The sequence below is a fragment of the Homo sapiens genome, chromosome 8 (genome assembly GCF_000001405.40).
Source record: "Homo sapiens chromosome 8, GRCh38.p14 Primary Assembly".
In the NCBI taxonomy this organism is placed as follows: domain Eukaryota; kingdom Metazoa; phylum Chordata; class Mammalia; order Primates; family Hominidae; genus Homo; species Homo sapiens.
This window is the reverse complement of record NC_000008.11, coordinates 141,062,554-141,089,783: the sequence shown is the minus strand read 5'-3', so window position 1 is coordinate 141,089,783 and position 27,230 is coordinate 141,062,554. Positions and strand designations below refer to the sequence as shown.

General features: G+C 52.3%; 10 annotated features.

The window, feature by feature from the left end:
- Window positions 143-512: an enhancer, noted in NCBI's record as "active region_28040". NCBI's record gives its function as "activates an Ori minimal core promoter by ATAC-STARR-seq in GM12878 lymphoblastoid cells {active_cell/tissue: GM12878}" and the evidence as "EXISTENCE:reporter gene assay evidence [ECO:0000049][PMID:35858748]".
- Window positions 2,127-2,627: an enhancer, noted in NCBI's record as "H3K4me1 hESC enhancer chr8:142097256-142097756 (GRCh37/hg19 assembly coordinates)". NCBI's record gives its function as "activates a minimal SCP1, AML or CMV promoter by ChIP-STARR-seq in primed H9 embryonic stem cells {active_cell/tissue: H9 hESC(primed)}" and the evidence as "EXISTENCE:reporter gene assay evidence [ECO:0000049][PMID:30033119]".
- Window positions 2,995-3,144: an enhancer, noted in NCBI's record as "active region_28039". NCBI's record gives its function as "activates an Ori minimal core promoter by ATAC-STARR-seq in GM12878 lymphoblastoid cells {active_cell/tissue: GM12878}" and the evidence as "EXISTENCE:reporter gene assay evidence [ECO:0000049][PMID:35858748]".
- Window positions 3,275-3,324: a silencer, noted in NCBI's record as "silent region_19588". NCBI's record gives its function as "represses an Ori minimal core promoter by ATAC-STARR-seq in GM12878 lymphoblastoid cells {active_cell/tissue: GM12878}" and the evidence as "EXISTENCE:reporter gene assay evidence [ECO:0000049][PMID:35858748]".
- Window positions 3,355-3,424: a silencer, noted in NCBI's record as "silent region_19587". NCBI's record gives its function as "represses an Ori minimal core promoter by ATAC-STARR-seq in GM12878 lymphoblastoid cells {active_cell/tissue: GM12878}" and the evidence as "EXISTENCE:reporter gene assay evidence [ECO:0000049][PMID:35858748]".
- Window positions 13,858-14,648: an enhancer, noted in NCBI's record as "H3K27ac-H3K4me1 hESC enhancer chr8:142085235-142086025 (GRCh37/hg19 assembly coordinates)". NCBI's record gives its function as "activates a minimal SCP1, AML or CMV promoter by ChIP-STARR-seq in naive H9 embryonic stem cells {active_cell/tissue: H9 hESC(naive)}" and the evidence as "EXISTENCE:reporter gene assay evidence [ECO:0000049][PMID:30033119]".
- Window positions 14,649-15,439: an enhancer, noted in NCBI's record as "H3K27ac-H3K4me1 hESC enhancer chr8:142084444-142085234 (GRCh37/hg19 assembly coordinates)". NCBI's record gives its function as "activates a minimal SCP1, AML or CMV promoter by ChIP-STARR-seq in naive H9 embryonic stem cells {active_cell/tissue: H9 hESC(naive)}" and the evidence as "EXISTENCE:reporter gene assay evidence [ECO:0000049][PMID:30033119]".
- Window positions 15,451-16,450: an enhancer, noted in NCBI's record as "H3K27ac-H3K4me1 hESC enhancer chr8:142083433-142084432 (GRCh37/hg19 assembly coordinates)". NCBI's record gives its function as "activates a minimal SCP1, AML or CMV promoter by ChIP-STARR-seq in naive H9 embryonic stem cells {active_cell/tissue: H9 hESC(naive)}" and the evidence as "EXISTENCE:reporter gene assay evidence [ECO:0000049][PMID:30033119]".
- Window positions 16,451-16,950: an enhancer, noted in NCBI's record as "H3K27ac-H3K4me1 hESC enhancer chr8:142082933-142083432 (GRCh37/hg19 assembly coordinates)". NCBI's record gives its function as "activates a minimal SCP1, AML or CMV promoter by ChIP-STARR-seq in naive H9 embryonic stem cells {active_cell/tissue: H9 hESC(naive)}" and the evidence as "EXISTENCE:reporter gene assay evidence [ECO:0000049][PMID:30033119]".
- Window positions 22,177-22,678: an enhancer, noted in NCBI's record as "H3K27ac hESC enhancer chr8:142077205-142077706 (GRCh37/hg19 assembly coordinates)". NCBI's record gives its function as "activates a minimal SCP1, AML or CMV promoter by ChIP-STARR-seq in primed H9 embryonic stem cells {active_cell/tissue: H9 hESC(primed)}" and the evidence as "EXISTENCE:reporter gene assay evidence [ECO:0000049][PMID:30033119]".

The following is a 27,230-nucleotide window of genomic DNA, read 5'->3' as shown; positions in this document are numbered from 1 at the left end:
TCAGAAAAGTTTGGGGGAACTGAGAGAGAGGGGACTGGAAAGCCCTTTCCTTCACCTTCACTCCAGCCCGAGGCAGCCTCCCAGGCACACACATCTAGAGTGGCAGAGCGCATGTCCCCAGGGGCCCGAGGGTGTGCAGCTTTGGGCGGACCCACAGGGGCCTGTCTGTTAGACACAGGGCCCACAGCCATTTCCTGCATGGCGTGACGCCCAGAGACAGACGGAACTGGGGCCACCCGACCAGGTGTCAACACTCAGGGTCAGAGGCCCCAGCTCCATGCCAACCCCACAGCCTGGACTAGGACAGACTCCCAGGACAAGAGGAGGCCCCAGAGGAACTGAGAATAAGCTGGATAGTTAGGAACAAGCTGGCCACGACCCACATCACATTCAGCCCTAGAGCCACGTGCAGCATCGGGTACGGAGCGGGAGCTGATCAATGCTTTCAGAACTGGAAATCCCAAGTCATGTGAACAGAAGAATAGGTGCACTCTGTTTGACTAGTCAGGAAGCCAAGGAACTTGCCCAGTCACCCAGCAAGAACATGGGGACGCTGGGGTCTGAGCCGGGTATTCTCTGAGGCCTGAGCCCAGCCCACCACCCACCCATCACAAGCCATGCTGAGTGCTAAGTTGGCCCCAGCCTGGCTCCTGGCTGGTCTGGGCAGGCCACCACGGCCCTGGGGCTGCAAGAAGGTGTCGGGCTAATCCCCAGGGAGGGCACTCATCTGGGAGGGAGGCCTGGGCAACTCACGGAGCCAGGGGGTAGAATTGAGGCCTGAGCAAAGGCTATGCGGCTCAGCTTTGGAGTGTCTTCAAGAGAGAAGGATGCACCCCCTGCCGCAGAGCAGACCCTCCCAGCCCATCCACCCCACATGTACCCAGAAGAGGAGGAGCTTCTCAAACTGGTTCCCCAGGGCCTGGCCTGGCCCGGGGCCCTAGCTGTCCACCCCTCTGGCCTGAGCCAGGTTTGATTTCCTGCTACTTTGGAGGGGAGGGGTCCCGAGGCACCTAGGCCCCTGCCACTCTGAATGCAAGTGCAGTGGCTGCCAGAAGCCACTCATCCATTCACCGATTCCAGTTGTGCCCCTGTTATATGTCAGGCACTGTTCCGGGTGAAGAGGGCGGCAGAGAGCGCGCTGGCAAGCTGGCCTCATGGAGCTGGCATTCTAGTGAGGGAGTCAGACACCAAGTGAGAGGTGACATTGAGAACACAGCTAAATTGACACAGTGCCAGGTATTGTTCTAAGTGTTTTGTTCATGTCACTTAATTGTCACAGCACCCATGACATAGATATATTGCTGTCTCCACTTGCAGATGGGGAGGCCGAGACACAGAAGAGTGAACCTGAGGAGTCTGCGGCCAGAGTCCATGTTAAATACGTGAAATGGAGAGGGTATCAGATGTGGGAGTGCAGAGCAGACAAGGAAAGCAGTAGCAGGAGAGAAGCGCATGTGTCTCTGTGCGCACGTGTGTGTGTACGTGCATGTATCTGTGTGTACAGGTGTGTGTGTGTGTGCATGTGTATGGGTGTACATGTGTATATCTGCATGTACCTGTGTGCAAGCATGTGTGTACTGTATGTGTGTATGCGTAGGTTGTGTGCATGTGTGTCTGTCTGCATGTATGCATATGTGCGTCTATGAGAGGGTGCATGTGTGGCTATGTGTGTATATCTGTGTGTGTGTCTGTGTGGGCCTTGCGGGAGGTTGGTCACCATTTCTTCAGTCTTGTGGGTATACTGCTCTCTGGAGGGGGCTCTCCCGGGCACTTGAGGTGGGCTCTGTGTCTCCATTATGTGATGTGACCAGGGCCACAGAAACCAGGCTCCCTGTGCCCACGCCCACCCACTCCAGACCTGGAGAAGGGAGGTGGCACGCACAAGGGTGCACACGGCTAGAAGCCTTACCAAGCAGATGGATGCAGAGATGGCTCATTCATTCATTCTCCTAGACAACGTGGCAGGCAATGCACTGAGTTCTGAGGAAGGACCGGGGGAAGGAACCGTATTGCTGGGGACACGTTCAAATCCCAGCTCTGCCACTGCAGCTGAGAACTGAAGGACTGCAGGCCTCCCTTGGAAAGTTGCCCTGGGGATGGGGAGCCGTCGGGCTGTGAAGCACACACCCACCCACCTCCTGCTGCCACACAACCTCACGCCCCCTTTCCTGACTTCTTTTCACCCCGTCTGGGCCTGACAGGCTCAGTCCTGTCACTCCTGCCCTCCAAAGTCCAGGGGAGCTTTGTCCATAGGGCCGACTGCTCTCCCCACATTCACCCCTGCTGGGGCTGGACAGACAACTGGGGCTGTCTGCCAGAAAAGGCAGGCCCTGTGTTCTATAGAGGCACTGGGCCACAGAGGCAGGAGTGGGCTTGAGAAACGGTGCTCCTCGCACAGGCAAAGATGGGAAGGCCCCAGGATAGGGCACTGGGGCCCACAGAGGGACTGTGACCTCACAGGTGGCCATGCCTGAGACTTGCCCTAGCAGCTGGGTGTCTGCTCCTGACAGGATATGGGGTTGCGCCTGGACAGAGTTGATGAGACACATGGACAAATAAGACACATGGAAGAAGTGCCCGGAGGCACACTGCGTTGAGCGCAGACACTACCAGTGTAGACAGCCACACTGTGACGCGTTGTTGAATGGGGTGAATAGATGAAACCTCAGGTCCCAGGTCCCTCCGTCTCTGTATGGATTTGTTTTGCTACTGCCGTTCCCCAGGGCCCCCCAGTGCCTGGCACACAGCAGGTGCCCGATACATACATGCCAAACGAATAAGGAAATGGGCAAATGAGAAGGTGTGATGGGAAGGACTCATGCTGCCAGGTGGCAGGGAGGTTCTGGGTGACTTTTTCTTTTTTCTGATTTTTAAATGGCTTTGTAATAACTACAGTATATATAACTTCTAATATGAGAAAAAAGTTATTTCAATGTTTTGAAATAACCACACAGCGAGGGTAGCCACAGGGACATGAAGGGGCTTTTGGCCAGAAGCAGCCCTGTGACTCCCTCACAGTCACAGTGACCAATGTGGCATCCACACACGGCTGCGACGTGGACGTGGCCCAGGAACCACTGGCGCCGAGGGCTGGGCTGGGACTTTCTTTCCTTTTCTCAGTTCCTCCATGGCTGTCATGTTCCTGGGTGATCAATCATATTCAGGAAGGAAGGCGGGGTGGGGGTGCCCCCTGTGCAGGGGGAGTCAGCCACGGAGGTGGGGGTCGGGGCCGTGAGGCTGTGAGGGCTCCAGAGCCCGGGCTGCTCACTTCACTTCTTGGAGCCCCCATTTTCCCACCTGTAAAATGGGGTGCTGACGCAGACCCCTGGTGGTTATGAGAAGTGGCTGCTGCCGGCTCGACACTACTGTGTGCCTGGGAGGCCTCTTTCCTTCCCTTTCCCTGCCCTGCTGCTCACAGGGTTGAGCAAGACTGCTTATGCTGGTTTGCTGCCCCCAATCTCAGAACCCACAGTGGCTGCACATGGCAAGGCTGGTTCCCACCCCACTCATCACTGAGCGCCACGGCCCTGCTGCGGGCACCTCGCCCCTCTGTAACATGGGATCAGTAATGCCCATCCCTTGAGCCCCTTGAGATGAGTGGCTATGCTCAGAGGGCCCTCTGGCCCCAGCCCCACCCTCCCTCGTGGGGACCTGCACTTTCTCTGGCAGATTCCTCTACTGCGCCTGGCCACAAATATGATCTTGATAAATAACTCATCTTCATCTTACTGAAGGGACTTAGGGCAGAGATCTAGTTTACAACATGGTCCCCACAGTGTCTGACTCTAGTAGACTTCAAAAAATAACTGTTGGATGGATGCATCAAAAGGTAGACAGGTAGATGCAGGTGGGTGAACCGGAGAATGAAGGATAGGTGAGTGGCTGGTGTGAGTTTCAGTCACCTCCTTACAGCTTGCTAATGGCAGAACTGGCAAGGGTCCCACTTCAAGTCCAGACACTCAACCGCTTCTCTGAAAGAGGTCTGTGCTGCCTTTCACTCACACCCAACAACACATCTGCGTTCACTGGATCTGCACGTCAGGGACCCCCACAATCGCACACGTCAGGGACCCCCACAATCGCACCACTCTCCGGATTCCTCCCTTGGGATCCACCCCAGGAGGTTCCAGCACCTCCGACCTAGGCACATGTTTAATTTCTCCCTCCAGACATTGGCAAGGTCAGCGTCACGGACCTGGAGCACATGGCATCACACAGAGCTTCACTCAAAGGGCCCCACGTTGGTTTAATGTTCTGCTGTCACCACCATGGAATTATCAATAATTTATCTTTTTTAACATAGCCATATCGTGAAACAGATGATTTTATCTTTAAACTCGTGTTTTGTAAGTGAAGTTCAATGGGACAGCGTCAGGGTGTGTGAGCAGAGGAGACCTGTGTAATCCAAGTGTCCGGGTCCTTGCCGCCCTGTCCACATTCAGCGTTCACCGTGTCCTATGAGCACAGAATTCTGGTGGGGCTGACGTACCTGGGACGTCTGAGATCCGGGTTCCTATGGGGTGTTGGCAGAATGCACGAGCCCCAGAGGTGACAGTGGGTTTAGATTTGTGCAGCCTTTCCATTGTCCTGTAAGATCGAAATACACGTGCCTGTACGAACTGTGCACTACCCATGTGCCATTGTGGCGCGTTAGTGCACAAGTGAGACGCTCTGCGCCTAAGACGGCATCGCACCGTAAAATGATGAGCCCAACAATTCATGCGAATGACTCGACTGCTTGTTTTTCCTTTACTTAGAATGACATTAATTACCAAACTTAAAGAACCACAGCAAGTCAGGAGGAAGGAAGGGAATGGGAGGAGCCGGTGCTGAGCCCCTCAGGCCGAGTCTGGGCCCTCCCGGGGCCGCAGGAGGACCCCTGGTGTCACCGCACTTTCGCAGAAAGACCCCTGGTGGTGTCCACGGGCATTCCTGTGTTGGCTCATTCATTCATTCAGCCAGTCACCCGCAGCACGCACCGCCCACCTTCAGCGTGGCCTGGGACAGGACACCGAGGGGTTCCAGGTAGGGATCAAGCTGGGGAGGGCACTGCAGGTCACAACGGCAGGTGAAGGCGAGGAGGAGACACAGCCGGGCCCACGAACAGGGTGAGAAGAGCTTCCTGTCACTAGCAGGGACAGCGCAAGGGGGACACTGCGAGCAGGAGGTCCCTTCTCTTCCCGTGCCTCAGGGTCCCCAGAAGGAAGCTAAGTGCCTGGCTCCGGCTCTGAAGTCCCGGGGGCCGGCTCGCCTTCCCAGCAGCAGAGAACTCCGCGGAGAGGGCGCGCGCCCCCTAGCGGGCCCGGGGAAGAAGCCGGGCCGGTCCCAGCCTCCGCTCCCTTGCATACGCCTCTCCGCCAGCCTCTCTGGGGAGGGGAGGATGCCTAGCAGGTCGTGGTCTCAGCTGAAGCTTCAGGAGGGAGCTAAGCCTGACCCTGTAGGGGACTCTGCAGGGTGAGCTTGTGGCAGCAGGGCTTTCCTTACCCCCACTGCTAGTGGTTGGCTGAGGGCTGCCCTGGGAGATCTGAATTCCCAGCTACTTCTGACTCTGCATGTACAGACAAAGCAGAATCTGGTAGTCCAAGATCAGTCCTTCAGATAAAAGCTTCAGGCTCCAGCCCTCTAGAGGAAGCACACCCAGGTCAGGGGAAGGATGCACACCCACCCGCACGGTCTCTGTGCACAGGTGCACAACTGGGGCTCAGTACGGAGAATGCACACGGGACTTGCTTGCCTGTGTACAAACTGTCGCTGGACACACTGGGAGTCTGACATCAGTGGCTGCCTCTGGGGAGGCCCCAGGAAGCTGGGCAAGTCACTCTTCTGTACTCTTTTTAACTCTGCACGACAGATAACTTCTACCTACTCAAAAAATGTTATCACATTAAAAGCCAATCTTGCCACATTCATGGATCAGAAGGCTTACTAGTGTTACAATGGCAATAACTCAACAAATCGACATATGGATTCTGCGGAGTCAAAATCTATCAAAACCTCCCCTGACAATCTTGGCAGAAATTGACAAGCTGAAACTGAAGTTCATACAGAAATACAAGGGAACCATAATAACCAAAACAATCCTGAAAAAAGAATAAAATTAGAGAAGTCACACTGCTTCATTTCAAAACATACTACAAAGCTATGGTAATCAAGATTGTGTGGTACTAGCGTAAAGATAGATGAATGGAATAGAATTGAAAGTCTAGAATAAGCCCTTACATTTATGGTCAGTTGATATTTGACAGGGTGTCAAGACAATTCAGTTGGGGGTGGGGAGAAATGGTCTTTTTAACAAATGGTGCTGGGACAGCTAAATATCCACATATAAATGGATGAAGTTGGACTGCTCCCTTACACCACTGTGAAACTGATATATGGGATTTCATCCACGGTTCCTGACTTGTAACCCCCATAGCCCTTGCTATAATCTTTCGTTATAATGTTGGGGCACTTTAGGCCTCAGGAGCAGGCTGCAGAAAGCAGAATCTCTCTGACCTCCTTCTGTTTTCCTTTTATATGCCCAAGGCAGGACTCTAATCAGATTGTGGGCCAAAAGACCCTCATTCAGCCAGGTGCGGTGGCTCATGCCTGTAATCCCAGCACTTTGGGAGGCCGAGGCAAGTGGATCATCTGAGCTCAGGAGTTCAAGAGCAGCCTGGCCAACATGGTGAAACCCTGTCTCTACTAAAAATACAAAACTTAGCCAGGCATGGTGGCAGGTGCCTGTATTCCCAGCTACTCGGGAGGCTGAGGCAGGAGAATTGCTTGAACCCAGGAGGCAGAGGTTGCAGTGAGCCGAGATCGCGCCATTGTACTCCAGCCTGGGCAACAGAGACTCCATCTCAAAAAACAAAAACAAAAACAAAAAAAACCAGACCAGGGCGCAGTGGCTCATGCCTGTAATCCCAGCACTTTGGGAGGCTGAGGCAGGTGGATCACGAGGTCAGGAGATCGAGACCATCCTGGCTAACATGGTAAAACCCTGTCTCTACTAAAAAATACCCAAAAAATTAACCAGATGTGGTGGCGGGCACCTGTAGTCCCAGCTACTCCGGAGGCTGAGGCAGGAGAATGGCGTGAACCCGGGAGGCGGAGCTTGCAGTGAGCCGAGATCGCGCCACTGCACTCCAGCCTGGGCGACAGAGTGAGACTCCGTCTAAACACACACACACATACACACAACCTCATTCCAGAAAGGGTCCTGCCCCATACTCTGGAGGAAGGAATGCTACACAGAGGAGCCAAGAGAGGCCAGAACAGACAGGCCTTGCTGGGTTCAAATCATGTTCTTTCTGTCCAGTCACATTCCTACATGGTTGTTGATCGTGCCGATGTGAAGAAGCCTCCATAAACCCCCAAAAGGATGGGTTCGGGGCTTCCAGATGGCTGAACAGGTCCCTGGAGGGTGGTGCACCCAGGGAGGATGTGGAAGCCCCTCACCTCTTCCCTATGCCTTACTTGAGGCATCTTTTTTTTTTTTGAGACAGGCTCTATTGCCTAGACTGGAATGCAGTGGTGTGACCACAGCTCACTGTAGCCTCGACCTCCTGGGATCGAGCAATCCTCTCACTTCAGCCTCCAGAATAGCTGGAACTATAGGTGGACATCACCACATCAGGCTAATTTTTTACTTTCTGTAGACATGGGGTATTGCGATGTTGCCCAGGTTGGTATCAAACTCCTGGCCTCAAGTGATCCTCCCGTCTCAGCCTCCCAAAATGCTGGGATTCCAGGCGGGAGCCACCACACCCGGCCAGAGCATCTCTTCATCTGTATCCTTTGTAGTTTCCTTTATAACAAACCAATAAATGTAAGTAAATGTTTTCCTGAGTTCTGTGAGCAGCTCCAGCAAGTTAAGCAAACCCAAAGAGGGGGTCGTGAGTGACCCAACCAGAAGCCGGTCAGTCAGAAGTTCCCAAGGCCCAGGCTCGTGACTAGTGTCTGAAGCAGGGGGGAGTTTTGGAGACGGAGCCCCCAACCTGTGGGATCTGATGCTGTTTCCAGGTAGTGTCAGAACTGAAGAAGAGGACCCCCAGCTGGTGTTTGCTACAGAATTGATTGCTCGCTTACTGGGGAGGAGAAACCCCCACATATTTTGGGGTCAAAGAAGTCTTCTGTGTTGATTATTGTAGTTTTGGTGTGAGAGCAGAAGAAAAGCACATTTGAAAGGTTATTTTAAACAATCATATACAAAAATTAGCTAAATGTGGATCAAAGACCTAAACATAAGAGCTAAAACTATAAAATTCTTAGAAGAAAATACAGGAGTAAATAGATCATCACCGGTCAGACACGGTGCATGGTGGCTCACGCCTATATCCTAGCACCTAGGGAGGCAGAGGCAGGAGGATAGTTTGAGCTCAGGAATTCAAGACCAGCCTGGACAATATAGCAAGACCCCATTCTCTTTTTTTAAATTTTCTATTTTTTGAGACAGACTCTCACTCTGTCGCCCAGGCTGTAGGGCAGTGGCATAATCTCGCCTCACTGCAACCCTTGGCTCCTGGGCTCAAGCGATTCTCCTGCCTCAGTCTCCCAAGTAGCTGGGATTACAGGCACCTGCCACCATGCCCGGCTAATTTTTGTATTTTTAGTAGAGACAGGGTTTCGCCATGTTGGCCAGGCTGCTCTCCAACTCCTGACCTCAGGTGATCCACCCGCCCATAAGCCACCACGCCCAGCCAAGACCCCATTCTTGATTTAAAAAATAATAAAAGTAGCCGGGTGTGGTGGCTCACACCTGTAATCCCAACACTCTGGGAGGCCAAGGCAGGCAGATCACCTGTGGTCGGGAGTTTGAGACCAGCCTGACAAACATGGAGAAACCCCATCTCTATTAAAAACACAAAATTAGCCAGGCATGGTGGCGCATGCCTGTAATCCCAGCTACTCGGGAGGCTGAGGCAGGAGAATCACTTAAACCTGGGAGGCAGAGGTTGCGGTGAGCCAAGATCATGCCATTGCACTCCAGCCTGGGCAACAAGAGCAAAACTCCATCTCAAAAACAAAAAAAAAATTTTTTTAAGTAAAAATAAATAAATACAATTCATCATGACCTTGGATTAGGAATGGTTTCTTCGCTATGACATCAAAAGCACAGGCAACAAGAGGGGAAAAAATAGATAAGATAGGTGGCTTTCATTAAAAGTAAAAACTATTGTTCTTCAGAGGATTCATTAAGAAGTGAAAAGATGAACCACCGAATGGGAAAGAATATTTGCAAATCCTGCATCTGAGAAAGGATGTGAATCCAGAACATATAAAGAACTCTTACCACCTAAAAATGAAAAGGCTAATAATCCAATTCAAAAATGGGCCAAGGATGGAAAAAGACATTCATCTCTTCAAAGAAGATACACAAACAGCAAACAGCACGTGAAAAGACGTTCAACGTTATTGGCCATCAGAGAAAGGCAACCAAAACTAAAATGAGAGGCCACTTGTTTCGGTCTGTTTAGGCCACGGGGTGGCTGAAACAACAGAAATTTATTTCTTTACTGTTCTGGAGTCTGGCAATCCTGAGATCAAGGTCCCATCAGGGTTGGTTTCTCACGAAGCCTCTCTTCCAGGCTTACAGACAGCTGCCTTCTCACTACGTCCTCACATGATAAGAGAAAGAGAGAAAAATCTGGCATCTCTTCCTCCTCTTCTAAGGATGCCAGTCCTCTCGGATCAGGGCCCCACTCTCCTGACCTCCTTTACCTTTAATTACCCCCTTAAGGCCCTGTCTCCAAATACAGTCACTTTGGGGACTACGGCTTCAACACATGAATTTTGGGGAACACAATTCAGTCGATAACACGGCTCACACCCACTAGGTCGCTTACTCAAAAACACAATGACAAGTATCATAGAGGGTATGGAGGAATCGGAACCCTTGGACCTGCTGGTGGGAATGCGAAACGGCACGGCCCCTTTGGAAAACAGTCTGGTAAGTTCCTCAGTCAAACGCAGGGTTTCCATATGACCTAGCAATTCCACACACAGGCTTAAAAGAATTAAAAACATGTCAACACAACACACACGTACACAGATGCCCACAGCAGCATTGTTCGTAACAGCCAAAGTGTGGGAACAGCCCAAATGCCTGTCAACTCATGAACGGATCCACACAATGGAACATTCTCTAGCAGTAGAGAGGAAGTACTGACACACACTACGCAGCCTCCAGGGGAGGGACCGGGAAAACACACCGAGCGAAAGAAGCCAGACACAAAGGGCACACACACTTTGCATAATTCCATTTACATGAAATGGTCCAGAGAAGGCAAGTCATAGAGACAGAAAATAGATCCATGGTTGTTTAGGGTTGAGGATGATGGGGGAATTGGGAGGTTACTGCTTTTTTTTTTTTTTTTTTTTTTTTTTTTGAGGTGATGAAAATGTCCTGGCCAGGTGTGGTGGCTCACGCCTGTAGTCCCAGTGCTTTGGGAGGCCAGGCTGGGCGGATCACCTGAGGTCAGGAGTTCAAGACCAGCCTTGCCAACACAGTGAAACCTCGTCTGAAACCCTGTCTCTACTAAAAATACGAAAATTAGCCGGGCATGGTGGGGGGCACCTGTAATCGCAGCTAATTGGGAGGCTGAGACAGAAGAATCGCTTGAACTCGGGAGGCTGAGGTTGCAGTGAGCCGAGATCGCACCATTGCATTCCAGCCTGCGTAACGAGAGTGAAACTCCATCTCAAAAAAAAAAAAAAAGAAAAAGAAAAAAGAAAAATGTTCTAAAATTGATCATGGTGATGGTTGCACAAATCTGTGAATACACTAAAAATCGACGTACACTTTAAATAGGTGAACTGGATAGTATATGAATTCTGTCTCAATAAAGCTCTTCCAAAACAAACCAAAACGTAACAAAACCAGTCTTGGGAGGAGGGTTTAATTCAGCTGCAGGCTGTGAGGACGGCTGGAGCTGGGCTCAAATCTCAGCTCTCCACTAACCACCTGTGCCCCCTGGAGCTGACTGCTTCACTTTGTGAACGTGGGTTTCCTCCTCTGTGACCTGGAGCCAGTAACATCGCCAGCTCCGGGGCTGTCAGAGGGGTTAAGGCAGATGAGGCAAGAGACTGTCTCACAAGAAGGCTGCCCCCCAATCCGGGCTCAACCCTGGGGCCGTGGAGTGCCGTAAGACCTCTCCAGCCTCCTAGCTGACGCCCCACCCCGCAAAACACCTGACACAGGATGCAGGTCCCAGGGTCTTTGGGACCCTCTGTGACCACCCCACTTACGTCTCCAGCCCCTGCACTCACCAGCTTCCCAAATGTGAATAAGTCTCCCCAACTTCCACGACTTTACTGTTGTAGGTGGAATTGCGGCCCCCCAAAGATATGCTCAAGCCTGAAGCCCCAGTACCTGTGGATGGGACCTTACTGGGAAACAGGGTCTTTGCAGATGTCATTCAGTTAAGAAGAGGCCATGCTGGATTAGGGTGGGCCCCAAACCCAGTGGCTGGGGTCCTTATAAGAAGAGGTAAGTTTGCAAAGAGAGACGCAGGAGAAGGCCAGGTGAGGATGGAGGCAGAGATTGGAGTCATGTGTCTACGGAGCCAAGGAAGGCCAACTATGGTTGGCAACCACCAGAAACTAGGAAGAGGCAGGGAAGGATCCTGCCCTGGAGACTTCAGAGAGCATGGCCCTGCCCACACCTGGATTTTAGACTTCCATCCTCCAGCACCATGAGAATAAACTCCTGGTGTTCTAAGCCGCCCAGCTTGTGGTGCTTGGTCATGCAGCCCTGGGAGACAAATTCACTGACCTGTTCCCACTGTATCCGGAATTGGTGGGTTCTTGGTCTCACTGACTTCAAGAATGAAGCCGCATACCCTCGCGGTGTGTTACAGTTCTTAAAGTTGGCGTGTCTGGAGTTTGCTCCTTCTGATGTTCGGATGTGTTCGGAGTTTCTTCCTTCTGGTGGGTTCGCGGTCTCGCTGGCTCAGGAGTGAAGCTGCAGACCTTCGCAGTGAGTGTTACAGCTCCTAAGGCAGCGCGTCTGGAGTTGCTCATTTCTCCTGGTGGGTTCATGGTCTCGCTGGCTTCAGGAGTGAAGGTGCAGACTTTCCCAGTGAGTGTTACAGCTCATAAAGGCAGTGTGGACCCAAAGAGTGAGCAGCAGCAAGTTTTATCACAAAGAGCGAAAGAACAATACTTTCACAGCGTCGAACTGAACCCAAGCAGGTTGCCACTGCTCGCTCTGGCAGCCTGCTTTTATTCTCTTATCTGGCCCCCACCCACATCCTGCTGATTGGTCCATTTTACAGAGAGACTTGTGGTCTGTTTTGACAGGGTGCTGATTGGTGCGTTTACAATCCCTGAGCTAGACACAAAGGTTCTCCACTTCCCCACTAGATTAGCTAGATACAGAGTGTCCACACAGAGGTTCTCCAAGTCCCCACTAGAGTAGCCAGATACAGAGTGTCGATTGGTGCATTCACAAACCCTGAGCTAGACACAGGGTGCTGATTGGTGTGTTTACAAACCTTGAGCTAGATACAGAGTGCTGATTGGTGTATTTACAATCCCTTAGCTAGACATAAAGGTTCTCCAAGTCCCCACCAGAGTAACTAGATACAGAGTGCCAATTGGTGCATTCACAAACCTTGAGCTAGACACAGGGTGCTGATTGGTGTATTTACAATCCCCTAGCTAGACATAAAGATTCTTCAAGTCCCCACCAGACTCAGGAGCCCAGCTGGCTTCACCCAGTGGATCCCGCACCGGGGCTGCAGGTGGAGCTGCCTTCCAGTCCTGCGCCCTGCACCGGCACTCCTCAGCCCTTGGGCAGTGGATGGGACTGGGCGCTGTGGAACAGGGGGCGGCACTCGTCAGGGAGGCTCGGGCCGCACAGGAGCCCACCGCGGTGGAGAGGCTCAGACATGGCAGGCTGCAGGTCCCCAGCCCTGCCCCACAGGAGGCAGCTAAGGCCAACGAGAAGTCGAGCACAGCAGCTGCTGGCCCAGGTGCTAAGCCCCTCACTGCCCAGGGCCGGCAGGGCCGGCTGGACACTCCGAGTGCAGGGCCCACTGAGCCCACGCCCACCCGGAACTCACACTGGCCCGCAAGCACCGCGTGCAGCCCTGGTTCCCGCCGGCGCCTCTCCCTCCACACCTCTCCACAAGCTGAGGGAGGCGGCTCTGGCCTTGGCCAGCCCAGAAAGGGGCTCCCACAGTGCAGCGGCAGGCTGAAGGGCTCCTCAAGCGCGGCCAGAGTGAGCGCCAAGGCCGAGGAGGCGCCGAGAGCAAGCGAGGGCTGTGAGGGCTGCTAGCACGCTGTCACCTCTCACCACCACAACGCCACTACCATTTACCTTCCCCTGTCCCAGTACTGCCCCATTCTTCCAGGTCCATGTCAAAAGCCTTCTCTTCCTCCAGGAAGCCTTCCCCAGGTGTCCTCCTTCCTCCTCCCCCTCCCATTGCCACCTCTGCAAGAGTCTGCTCCTGCCCCCAACATCCCATAGCACCCTGTACCCGACTATAAAATGTATCACATTCTGCTCTAACGTGAAATATGCCAGGTGACCTTCTTAAAGGGGTTCCAAAGATGCTTCCTTCCTGGAAGGAAAGGGATTTTGAAGGATGAGTAAGAGTTTGCCAATTGGCCAAAAGTTTGATGGCTTTGTCCTGGTCAGTGAGTTTATTTATTTACTTATGTATGTATTCATTCAATAAGTATTTGTTGAGTAACTTTTGCACTGACTTGTTCCTCAGAATGTGGCCCCTGGGGGCAGGATAGCACCTCATGGATCTCTGGCCACACCCCTAACCACCATGCTTACCCCTCCCGCCCAAGAGCTCCTGGCAGCTCTGGGTCAGCCTCAGCCTGAATTTATGCTTAGCCAAGGTTTGTGAATCAAGGGTGTTTTCTAAGTGTGTGTGGCAGGAGGAAGAGGACAGAGGGCCTCCTGGGTTAGAGAAAATGGAGGCCCCTCTGTGTTGAAAAGCACACGGGCTGGTCAGACAGTCCCGATTCCAAATCCTTGCTCTGCTCCTTTCCAGCCGCGTGGCCTGGCAAGGTCTAAGGCCTGCTGCTTCTGTGCAATGGGGACGCGGGAGGCATCCCCGCTGGGCCTTGGAGCCCCTCCCGCAGTAACTAGTGCTGGCCAGCAGGGGGCGCAGTCGACACCGCCCCACCATCCCCCACCCACCTTCCTCGGGGCACAGGCCGGGCTGAATTCCAGGCGGCGTTAAAGCCAGTGCCTCTCTGCCCACAGGCCCCCAGCAAAGCTCCGAGAGGCTAGTGGCCGGCCAAGAAGGAGGAAGGAGGGTGGTGAGGCCTGCAGGCGCCAGATCACGGGAGCCGCTGGTGGTCTGAACGCAGGGGAGCCACGGGGTCTGGTGTGCGTCTCGAACTTTCTCTTAGGCGGTGGGGTGGAGAGGGGCCTGATGGGCAGGAAGGCCTGTGAGGAGGCCAGCGCCATCTCCAGGGGCAGCCCCAGAAGGCTCAGGACTCCAGGCTGCTGCGGCCAGGCTCCTCAGCCCGGCCTTTCTCAGTGGCCAGCGACAGAAACCCGCACAGGGTATGCGGTGGGAGGACCCAAGGCCTGCCATGCAGCTGCCTGGAGGACGCTGGAACCAGGGCTGGGAGAGCTGTGGGACTCCTGTCTGGCTCTCCTGTGTGCTCTTCTCAGCCTCGTGGCCTCCTTCCTCTCTCCTGCAGATGGTCTCTCTCCATGGGTAGTAAGCGTGGCCCCTGACATCTCCCAAGCCTTGTGTAAAAGTCTCAGGGAGGGAAGTCAGGGGCCCCTCTCAGGCAGATACCCACCCCAGACCATTAGTCTGTGCCTGGGGACAGTCAGGCAGCAGCATGGAGTGCCTGGGAGCCATCTGGATGGGGCAGGGATACACAGCTGCCAGAAGAAAGGAGCCACATCAGACCTCTGCAGCCAGCAGACCCCGGCCGTCCCGGCCTCGCGGACACCTGCTTTCCAAATAGGGACTTCCCCTAGTTTACACAAAGGTCTGTGCGATGGCCCAGACAGCTGGACGAGTCAGGCCCAGGCACACAATTCCCAGCGTGAGCCCACGTGTCTTCCCGAAGACCCAGTGCAGGAGGGCTTGGAGGCATCCTGAAGATCTAGGTTCAAGTCCTGGCTCTGTCACTAAGGTAGACTAAAGATGGCCACACATTCTTTAGCATCCTTTCGTTGAGAGGCAGGACCTGTGTCTGCTTGGCCAACAACATATGGCAGCAGTGATGTACTTCTGGACCTGGGCTTGGAGAGAAGGGCAGTTCCTGTCTCTAGGCCGCTTGCTCTTGGAATCCGGCTGCTGCAGCGTGAGGAAACCCAGGAAGGCGCCTCCAGCCCACAGAGAGCTCCCAGCACACAGCCTCAGAGAGCTCCCAACACACCACCGGCTCCAGCCAGCAGGCCAAGGGGGTGGCCCCGCTCCGAGGTGGCTACCTCGGCTCACGGAGCTGCCCTAGCAGATGCCACAGAGCACAGCCACACTATCCTCGCCAAGTCCTCCCCAGTCTACAGATTTGGGAACAAAACAAAGTGATTTATGAAATGCTTTAAGTGACTGAGTTTGTTACACAATCAGTACTAGAACCCTTATCATGAAAATGACCCTGGGCAAAATAGTCAAGTTCTGTGAAACATGTTTCCTCATGCAAAAGTGGACAGAGTCTCCGCCTTACAGGATTCCAGCACAGGGAAAGCACCTAACACAGCACAGGACGGGGACAGCCCCCATCCACCTCTGTGTCCCCAGCACGCAGTAGCTGAGAGGAGTTGAAACAAATGGCCCTGGATTGTGTTTCTTTGGGAGCCCCCACTTCTGAGTCCCCTCCTCTGGGGATCCCAGTCCCCCACTTGCCTGGCCTGTGCCCCACGCACTCTCTCCCAGATGGGCTACACAGCTGCCAGCATGCATGCCAGCTCGGAGTGCCCTGCGGGAGCTGCACATCAGCTCAGCCTCCGTGCACCAAGGCTTTTCAAGGGGGCCGAGTGCCCACCTGGCGCCTGCACCCTGCTAATGGGCCTCCCTACCTGGCATGTGCCCTGCCCCTCCCTGCGTGGCCTAACCCCCTGGGGCTGCAGGCAGGAGCTGGGGGTTTATGACCAGATGAAGGCTTTGGGGTTCAGTGTTGTCCAGCCTGGTCCCTCAGGCTTCGGGGGAGGCAGGGATCCCATCAGGGAGCCGTGATCAGTCAGCACCCAGCCCAGCTCCATTTCTCAACTTGATGCAGGAAGTCAGTTGGGAGGTTTACAGAAGCCTGAATCAATTTTCTTCTCAAGGTAAAGCACACACACACACACACACACACACACTCTCTCTCTCTCTCTCTCTCTCTCTCTCTCCCCGCTGGGGAAGGCAGGCAGGCAGGAAGAAGCCAAAGAATAAATAATGGTACTTTGTAATCCAAGCCACAAGCAGATGGCCGGGGAAGGCCAGGAGTTCTCTGCACAAGGCCCCTGCCCCAATACAGCGCGACCCTTGCCAAGGTCACAGCCTGGGAGGGACAGAACAGAGAGTAGACGCCCAGATGTCAGAGTAAGGGGGCCCCCTTACTGGGCCCAGGATGAGGCCTGCTCTGACTGTAATCTTTCTGAATCTCTTATGATGGAGACAGAGACACACAGTTTGTTACACTGTAACCACGCCCTTTCCTGGGGCTGAGGCAGCCTCACGTGCCAGCTGGGGCCAGGTAGGCTGCAGGAGTTGGGGAGTGCCTTGGTGTCAGGGAAAGCAGGGCAGGAGGGTGAAGGGGATCAGAACAAGCAGTCTCAGTGTGGGGCCAGCACCTGCAGGGGCCCAGAGGTCACTGTGAAAGGACACTCGGGCTGCAGGCAGGCAGGGCTGTTTTTAACCCTGTGCCTTTCCTGCTGTGTGTCCTTCGGGAAGTCACTCACCCTCTCTGTACTGCAGTAGCCTGGCCTGTGAAATGAGCCACAGCTGCTCCTCACAGGGGCATGGGTGACTGTGTGTGCACCTAACTGCCCCGAGGGCTTCCCCCGTAGTCACCACCCTGCCTCAGGGTTCTTAAGCCTGCCTGGACTGCAGGGGGAGGGGGCTCCCCTCTGGACCCCCCTGTGGACTCAGGCCCAGGCCTTGCTCGCCGGGGCTTTTTTCCAGTTGTGTCTGTCATGATCCCAGCAGGAAACAGATAACACACGCCAACGATCCTCAGGCAGGTGTTCAGCAGAAGGGCCGTTGACAGGTCTGAGAGCTGGGTTAAGAGAACCAACAAGGGAGGTAGCACCCCAGAAACAAAGACCACCCAAGGTCACCCAGGCAGTCAACCGGGAGTCTGTGTGGGACTGCACTTGATGTGTCACACCTGTAACTCCGGCACTTGAGAGGCCGAAGCAGGAGAATCGCTTGAGCCCAGGAGTTTGAGACCAGGCTGGCCAACACGGTGAAACTCTTGTCTCTGCAAAAAATACAAAAATTAGCTGGGCATGGTGGTGCGTGCCTGTAGTCCCAGCTACCCAGGAGGCTGAGGTGGGAAGATCACTTGAGCCCAGGAGGCTGACACTACAGTGAGCCATGATCACACCATTGCACTCCAGCCTGGGGAACAGAGTGAGACCTTGTCTAAAAAAAAAAAAAAACAAAAAAAAAAAAACAAAAAAAAACAAAAAAAAAACAACGATCAACAGATGCTTTTCACATAACAATTTTTTCTAAAATTGTTGAGGAAACACCCTGGCTGTCTGGGCATCCACTCACACACCACAGCCATAGCGTGCAGGGAGGGCCCTCTAGTAATGACTTCCGGGCTGGCTATAAAAAATAAGTGTGGGCCAGGCACGGTGGCTCACGCCTGTAATCCCAGCACTTTGGGAGTCCGAGGTGGGCGGATCACAAAGTCAGGAGATTGAGACCATCCTGGGTAACACGGTGAACCACCATCTCTACTAAAAATACAAAAAATTAGCCGGGCGTGGTGGCGGACGCCTGTAGTCCCAGCTACTCAGGAGGCTGAGACGGGAGAATGGCATGAACCCGGGAGGTGGAGCTTGCAGTGAGCTGAGATTGCGCCACTGCACTCCAGCCTGGGCGAGAGAGTGAGACTCTGTCTCAAAAAAAAGAAAAAAAGAAAAGAAATAAGAAATAAGTGTAGCCAGGTGTGTAGAAGAGCCCAGCACGGTCTGGCAGGAGGCACTCTGCAGATGTACTCAACACAGAGCCACCCAGGGCCTTGCACACAGCAGGTGCTTACTATGTGCAGATAAAATGAATGGGCAGATCCATCACTGAGGTGCAAAGGAGAGAGAAAGGTGGTGCTATGGACTGAATTATGTCCACCCTAAATGCAGATGTTGGAGCCCGGACCCCCAGTATGACTGTGCTTGGAGTAAGGAAGTCATTAAGGTTGAATGAGTCCCGGGGGTAGGGCCCTGCTCTGATAGGATTCACGTTCTTATAGAAAGAGAGCTCCTGGCCAGGCACCGTGGCTCACGCCTGAAATCCCAGCACTTTGGGAGGCTGAGGCAGGATCACCTGAAGTCAAGAGTTCGAGACCAACCTGGCCAACATGGCGAAACCCCATCTCTACTAAAAATATAGAAATTAGCCGGGCGTGGTGGCCCACGCCTGTACTCCCAGATACGTGGGAGGCTGAGGAGGGAGGATCACTTGAACCAAGGAGGTAGAGGTTGCAGTGAGCCGAGATTTTGCTACTGCACTCCAGCCTAGGCAACAGAGTAAGACTGTGTCTCAAAAAAAAAAAAAAAAAAAAAAGAGAGAGAGCCCCTCGCCCTCTGCCAAGTGAGGACACAGTGAGAAGGTGGCCAACTGCAAGCCAAGAAGCGGGTCCTCACAGAATCAGCGGCACCTTGATTTTGGACTCCTGGCCTCCGCGTCAGGGAGGAATAAATTTCAGTTGTTTCAGCTGTCCAGTCTGTGGGATTTTGCCGTGGCAGCCTGATCTGACATAGGTGAGAAGGCCATGGCGGAAGAGCCAAGGACAGGTGCATATTCTTTTCCTTATGTTGTTTGTACAAATGACCACAGAGCTGGTGGCAGAAGTGCCTCACATCTACTGTCTTACAGTTCTGGAGGTCAGGGGTCTGAAATCAGCTCCACTGGCCAAAATCAATGTGTCGGCAAGGCCTCCTCCAGAAGCTCCAGGGGAACATCTGTTTCTTCAGCTCTTCCAGCTTCTAGAGTTGCATCCCTTTCATTTCTCGGCTCCCGGCCCCTTCTTCCATCCTAAAGTCAGCAGGGTGGCCTCTTGCCTCAGTGGCCTCAATGCCCTCTTCTGTTTCAAGTCTCCCTTTACTTCCCTCTTTTTTTTTTTTTTTTTTTTTTTTTTTTGAGACAGAGTCTTGCTCTGTCACCCTGGCTGGAGTGCAGTGGTGCGTTCTCAGCTCGCTGCCACCTCCACCTCCTGGGTTCAAGTGATTCCCCTGCCTCAGCCTCTGGAGTAGCTGGAATTACAGGTGTGTGCCACCACGCCCAGCTAATTTTTGTATTTTTAGTAGAGATGGGTTTTTGCCATGTTGGCCAGGCTGGTCTGGAACTCCTGACCACTGCACCTGGCCAGTCAGCTCTTTTTGAAAGCTCTCAAACACAGAAGGGCTGATTACAGCAGAGCATTATGGAACAATGTGGCCTGACTCCCTTCTGAGGAGACCTCCATCCAGCTCCTGACTTCCTGCTCTGGCACATAGGCTGGGGGTCCAGCGTGTGGAAGTCCTAGGTTCCTTTGTGTCACAGGTTTCAGTAGCGGAGAAGGCACTGGGTCGGGTTGGCCTCCTTGCCAGACCCTAGGGGTGGAAACTGATTCCCATCATCAAGGCAAGAAAACCGGAGAGATTACAGAAGGCATTTTAATACATCTGCAGAATTAAACAGACAAAAAAGACAAGAAGGAAATGAAGGAATTGACTGATAGAATCATGTCGCTGTTTAGTGGGGAATTGTTCTTACATCCATCGATTAGCTGCAAACATGTCTTATATACTCGACCAAAACAAAAACTTGGCCAGATTTTAAAAAGCAGAGATTTTATAGAACACTTCTCTGATCATAGTCTAATAACATGAGGAATTAAAAAAAAAAAAAGATGACCAACAGCCTAACAACTTGGAAATTAAGAAACATTCTGGCCAGGCAAGGTGGCTCATGCTTGTAATTCCAGTACTTTGTGGGGCTGAGGCAGGAGGATTGCTTGAGGCCAGGTGTTTGAGACCAGCCCAGGCAGCATAGTGGGACTGTCTCTGCAAAATAATTTTAAAAATTTAGCCAGGTATGGTGGTGCATACCTGTAGTCCCAGCTACTCAGGCGGGGGTGGGTGGTTGAGGCGGGAGGATTACTTGAGCCCAGGAGTTGGCGAGTAGCCTGGGCAACATAGTGAGACCCCGTCTCAAACAGCAACAATGACAACAAGGCTTCTGAGGCTGCATATTCAGGCTCAGTGGAAAAAGTGCTGTAGCTCTTCACAGATGACAGCCATAGACCAAAGAGTGGTGGTCCCGTGGCCATGTGTACACTGCAGTAAGCTGAATAATCAATAACAATAAATAATCATACTAGATATCATGGCCCCCAGAGATACCCAGGTCCGCATCCCTGAAACCTGTGGAGGTTACCTTAGAAGGCAAAAGTCTTTGCAGATGGGATTAAGTTAGGGACCCTGAGATGGAGAGATTACCCTGGAGTATCTGGATGGGCCCTAAGTGTAATCAGGAATGTGATTATAAGGGAAGTCGCCCGGTCGCAGTGTTTCATGTCTGTAATCTCAGCACTTTGGGAGGCTGAGGTGTGCAGATCACTTGAGTCCCAGAGTTCAAGACCAGCATAGCGAGACCCTGTCTCTGGAAAAATATATACATGTATAAAACTTTGCTGGGCATGGTAGCATGCACCTGTAGTCCTAGCTACTTGGGAGGCTAAGGTGGGAGGATCACCTGAGCTTGGGGAGGTCAAGGCTGCGGTGAACCTTGATCACATCACTGCACTTCAGCGTGGGTGACAGAGTAAGACCCTGTCTCAAAAAAAAAAAAAGGAGCTGACTGCCCTTGGGGACTAGGGGCACTGGGACCGCTGGAAGAGAGAGTGGCAGGTAAAGTCATAGGCCTGAGCCTATCCAGAGTCCACGGCCTGGGCACAGCATCTGCCACGTGGATGCCACGGACACACGGGTCTCCCCGGGACAACTACAGTAATAAGAGCTGTACCGTGGTCTTCGCATGTAAGAGTTGAGAAGACAAGCAGAAAGAGATGAAATAAAGTGCCCAAAACCAGCACTGCCAGAAGAGCTGGGACCCACACCCAATCCTGGCTGTGTGACCTCGGACAAATTGCCGAACCTCCCTGTGTTCTGGTTTCCTGATCCATAAGATGGGCTTACTAATGGTGCCTGCTATGGTCTGAATGTGTCCGCCCAAATTCTTATGTTGCAACATAACCAGCAATGCCATAGCATTAACAGGTGGGGCCTTTGGGAGGTGATTAGGTCATGAGGGTGGAGCCCTTGAGAATGGGATTAGTGACCTTATATGAGAGGCACAAGGGAGCCGTTCATGCCTTTTTCCCTTCTGTTCCACCATAGGAGGACAGTGTTCATCTTCCTAGAAAAGATGCAGCAACAGGGCTCCATCTTGAAGCAGAGAAAACAGTCCTCACCAGACACGAATCTGCCGGCACCATGAGTTTGGATATCCCAGCCTCCAGAACTGTAAGAAATAAGTTTCTACGGTTTATAAATCACCCAGGCTGTGGCATTTTGTTATAGCAGCACAGATCAAGACAGCGGCCTCCTCAGAGGGTGGCTGCAAGTGTTAAATGCGAGATAATTCCTGTGAAGCACTTAGGACAACAGCATCCACAGTTACCTCCACAGGTTTATGTCCCCCCCATCCCGTTCCCCAGGAAGGAGCACACAGCGGCCCAGAGCCCAGCCTAGGGCACACAGAGTTCTGGGCACGCCTGGGCCCCTCTCTCTCAACACCCCCCTTAATCCAGGCCACAGTGGCCTCTTGCCCAGTGAAGTGGTGGGGGATGCCCTGCCCCTCCTCCCCTAGGGACAGAGAGGTCAGTCAGAGGCCTCCCATCTCCAGGCCCAACAGGCCAAACCCTCAGTAGCTGTCGGCATAGCCAGGAGCCCTGGAACCCCTAATTCCCTGAGAGAAAGGACCCCCCAACCCTGACCTGGCCCTTTCCTGCAGGATATCGCCAAGAGACCCGAGAGGCTGCAGCCCAGGCTGCTGGGGACAAGGTTTTTCCAAATCCACTTCTGGATCTAGGGGCTGACAAAGCACATCCATTGTTCTGATTTTATTTATATTCAACATGTGCTGAGAATGAATTGTTCTCAACAATATGGGGTGAAGGAAATGTCCGATTTCTGAAAGCCTCCTTTACAAGGCTGATGGGAAATTCAGTGCAGTCATTCCAGGACCGCTGCTTCCCCCAGTGACCCCTCAGGGCCCAGTTGTGCCCACATGGGCACCTGCAGTTCCTCAGCTCCTGGGCTGGGCCCAGGCACCCTTGCAGGATCCTGGCCACAGTGAGGAACCAGGTGCCAGGGGCCACATCCTGAGGGTCATCTGCCACCTGCCAGGCACCTGAGGCAGGCACTGGGCCCACAGCTCTGCCTCCCTCCCGAGCCAGTGAGGAGCTCTCAGAACTTCCCTCTGTCCCACCTGCCCCACTCCAGAGTGAACCCCTTTAAGGTCCGAGTACTTCCCCCTCCTTCCTGTGGATGGGGAGACAAGGGGCTAATACCAGCTGGTTTTTGTCTTCCTAAGATACAAATCCACAGGTACAAGTCCCTTTTGTGTTTAAAATACAAAAGAAGAAAAGAGAGCAAAAGTAAAGATCAGGCATTGAGCTCTTTGGATGTTTGAAGTCTAGAAGTAGGAGTGGCTGGGAGATAGTAGTTATCCTAGTATTAGTCAGGGGCCTACAGAGACTGACCAATAGGAGATGGATGGGTGAATGGATGGACAGACGGATGGAAAGACAGACAGACAGACGGAGAGATGAATGGATGGGTAGATTGATGCATGTATAGATGGTTGGATGGGTGGGTGGATGGACGGATGGATGGATGGACAGAGGGATGGATGGATGGATAGACAGACAGATGGACAGATGGATACATGAATGGGTAGATGGGTAGATGGATGGATTGATAGATGATTGATTGATTCATTGATTGATGGATGGGCAGATGGATGGATGGGTGGATGGACAGATTGATGGATAGATGGATGGACAGACAGACGGACAGATGGATAGATGGATAGATGGGTAGATGGATGGATGGATTGATAGATGATTGATTGATTCATTGATTAATGGATAGACGGATGGATGGATGGATGGAGATATAGAGAGGTAAGAGAGGGGATTTTTGAGGGGAGCTGGCGCACTCCATCATGGAGGCTGAGAAGTCCCACCACAATTGCCTCCACAAGCGGGAGAACTCTGCCGGCAGCAGAGTTCAGTCCAAGTCTGAAAGGCTCAGAACACAGGAAGCCAATGCTGTAACTCTCAGTCCAAGACCAAAGGCCTGAGAAGCCATGGAACCACTGGTACAAGTCTTAGAGCCTGGAATTCTGATATCCAAGGGCAGAAGGAGAGAGTCCCAGCCCCAGGAGGGAGAGAGGCATTCACTCTTTGTCTCCTTTTTTGTGCTGTCTGGGCCCCCAGTCAACTGGATGGTGCCTACACTCACTGGGGACGGATCTTCCCTACTCGGTCTCCTCTGGAAGCAGCTGCACAGACACACCCAGGAGCCACTCTTCACCAATTCTCTAGATGCTCCTCAATCCAGTCCTGTTGATGCCTACGATTAACCCTCATAGTCCACATGTGCTGGGCCTGCTATCTCTCCCCAGCCAGTGGGGGCCTGACTAGGCCAGGGTTGGGTCCAGCTAAGTAGCCTGGGGGAAGTCTGGGGAAGGGACTGGCATGAAGTCTGGGGACACATGCCCCAGGTTAGCAACCCAGAGGGGTCAAGTTCAAGGCTCAGGCAGAAAGTTCAAAACCAGGTTGATGGGCCAGGTGCGGTGGCTCACGCCTGTAATCCTAGCACTTTGGGAGGCCGAGGCAGGAGGATCACTTGAGGTTAGGAGTTTGAGTCCAGCCTGGCCAACATAGTGAAACACCGTCTCTACTAAAAATACAAAAGTTAGCTGGGTGCGATGGCACATGCCTGTAATCCCAGCTACTCAGGAGGCTAAGGCAGAAGAATCCCTTGAACCCAAGAGGTGAAGGTTGCAGTGAGCCGAGATCACTCCACTGCACTCCAGCTTGGGTAACAGAATGAGATTCCGTCTCAAAATAAAAAACAAAACAAAAAAAAAACCAACCAACAAACAAAAAACCCAGGTTGATGGAATATGGAAGATAGATGCCAGGCAGGGAGCAGGGAACCCCGACAGGCTGGGGCTAGGATGCCAGCAAGCTGAGGAGAGTGGCTTGGAGACCCTGCCCACACAGAGATGGATGCCACTGCAGGTTGGCAGGGGTCTGGTGGGACCTCCCTTCCGCCCTGTGCCCCAATTGGCCAGCCAGGCCCTGTTTGCCACACATTTCCCAGGGCTGGATTCTGGTACCACCCTTCCCTGCCTTGTCATATGGTCCCCACTCAAGTCCCATCTGGGTTCTGGCCATAATCCCAAAAGACACAATCCCAAACACTATAATTCCAAATGTTAAATCCTAACAGAGTAAAATCTCTAAAATCTAAAATCCACAAAGTCACAAATCCCGAAAGATCAAAAATCCTGAAAATATAATTCTGGAAAAAAATAATTTTTCAAAGTTATTTAAAAAATGTATTTACATTTTTAACAGGAGATTTACATGAGAAACATAAAAACATGACAGAACACTTCATAGGCCATTTTATACAATGAAATAGGCAAAAATGACATACATATATTTGCAAGCATAAACAGGTATGCTAGCAGCAATCATGAGGGTATGACAGTTATGAGCAGACAAAAAAGTGAAAGGTATAAGCACACATCACTGTGGCTGGTAATTAAGCATGGCTGGTAATTGTATGCACTCAGCTTTATAACTGCGGTCATCTGAAATACCCTGACGGACAACCTAAGTCTTTCACAAGATCTATCAAAAACCATGATGGGGCTGGGCGCAGTGGCTCACACACACACCTGTAATCCCAGCACGTTGGGAGGCCGAGGCAAGCAGACCATTTGAGGTCAGGAGTTCGAGACCAGCCTGACCAACATGGTGAAACCCCATCTCTATTAAAATACAAAAATTAGCTGGGCGTGGTGGCGGGCACCTGTAATCTCAGCTTCTCGTGAGGCTGAGGCAGGAGATTCGCTTGAACCCAGGAGGCAGAGGTTGCAGTGAGCGAGATCACGCCATCGCACTCCAGCCTGGATGACAGAGTAAGACTCTGTCTCAAAAAAATAAAAAGAAAAATTTTAAAAACCATGATGGGTCATGACAGCCTAGGCAGTCACCCAAAAAGCCGAGCTCTGAAGAAATTTTACCTTTCACACGTACAGTCATACATAAAGTGCACCTGTTCGTTTACTGAGGAAGTTTCGATGTTTTTCCATACATGTCCAATGCTTACACACACAGTCAGCATATGGTAATGCAGCTCCATGGAGTCAAATTTCTAATGTCCAAGGCAGCAGAGGAGAAGTCCCAGCTCTCAGAAAGAGACCAATTCGGGCCAGGCACAGTGGTTCAGGCCTGTAATCCCAGCACTTTGGGAGGTTGAGGCGGGAGGATCACTTGAGGTCAGGAGTTCAAGACCAGTCTGGTTAACAGGGCAAAATCCCATTTCTACTGAAAAAAAAAATGCAAAAATTAGCTGGGCATGGTGGCGGGCACCTGTAATCCCAGCTACTCAGGAGGCTGAGGCAGGAGAATCGCTTGAACCTGGGAGGCGGAGGTCACAGACAGCCAAGATCATGCCACTGCACTCCAGCCTGGGCAAAAGAGCGAGACTCCGTCTCAAACAAACAAACAAAAAAAGAGACAATTTGCCTTCTTACTTTGTTCTCTCAGGCCCCTGGCCAATTACATGGTGCCCACCAACAGTGAGGGGAGAGCTTCCCCACCTAATCCATCTAGACTCACTCACCAACCGCTTCTGGAAGCACCTTCACAGAAACACCCAAATTTCTTTTTTTTTTTTTCTTTTGAGACAGGGTCTCACTCTGTTGCCCAGACAGTAGCACGATCCCAGCTCACTGCAGCGTTTGACTTCCTGAGCTCAAATGATCCTTCCTCCTCAGCCTTGACCTCCTGGGCTGAAATGATCCTTCCTTCTCAGCCTCCCAAGTAGCTGGGACCACAGGTGTGCACCATTATGCCAGGCTAATTTTTGTATTTTTTAATTTTTTTAATTTTTTTTTTTTAGAGATGGGGTTTCACCATGTTGTCTAGGCTGGTCTCAAACTCCTAAACTCCAGTGATTTGCCCACTTCAGCCTCTCAAAGTGCTGGGATCACAGGCATGTGCCACCGTACCTGGCCCACGCCCAGATTCCTTAATCCAGCCAAGTCAACACCTGAAATAAAGTCCGCAAATCCACCCATTGTCAACTCGGCACCCATACACGTCTCCTTAAACCATGCTATTTCCAAATAAAGACAATAACAAGGCACTAGCTCGCCTAACTTGATGCAGTGAACATGGTGCAACTATCTCGTGTACAACCGAAAACGCACTGATCCTTTCCTCAGAATTTGGCTTTCAAGATTTCAACATTCAAGATTTTAACCTCTTGGAATTGTGATTTGGGGGATTTAGACTTTGGAGATTTTGACCTTTTGGGGTTTCAGTGTTTGGGATCACGGCATCGGGATTGTGTCTTTGGGATTATGATCAGCACCCGTCCCATCTACCTGAGTCCGTCCCTTGGAACCAGCTGGAACTGGACTTGCTGCATCCCCATTTGGGGGAATCATGACAGAGCCCACCAGCCTATCGTTTGTCCTCTCCCACCCATCATCCATCCACCTACTCCTCCATGAAATCTAACCCAGCAACTTTTGTCCTTGGTCATAATCCTTTATTCTTACTGTGTTGCCCAGATGTAAATTGGTTCAAAAAGTACAACTTGCCCACTCACTCCTTTATCCATCTACCACCCACCTGCCCACCTATCCAGCCACCCACCCACTTGTCTGCCTATCTATGTATTCACCATTCCTCCTCTACCTATCTATCCACAATGATCCCCTCCCCCATCTGTCTATCTACCTATTCGCCTATCCATCACCTCCCTACCTGCCTATCCACCCACCTATTCACTTATCCACCCAGCCAGAGATCCA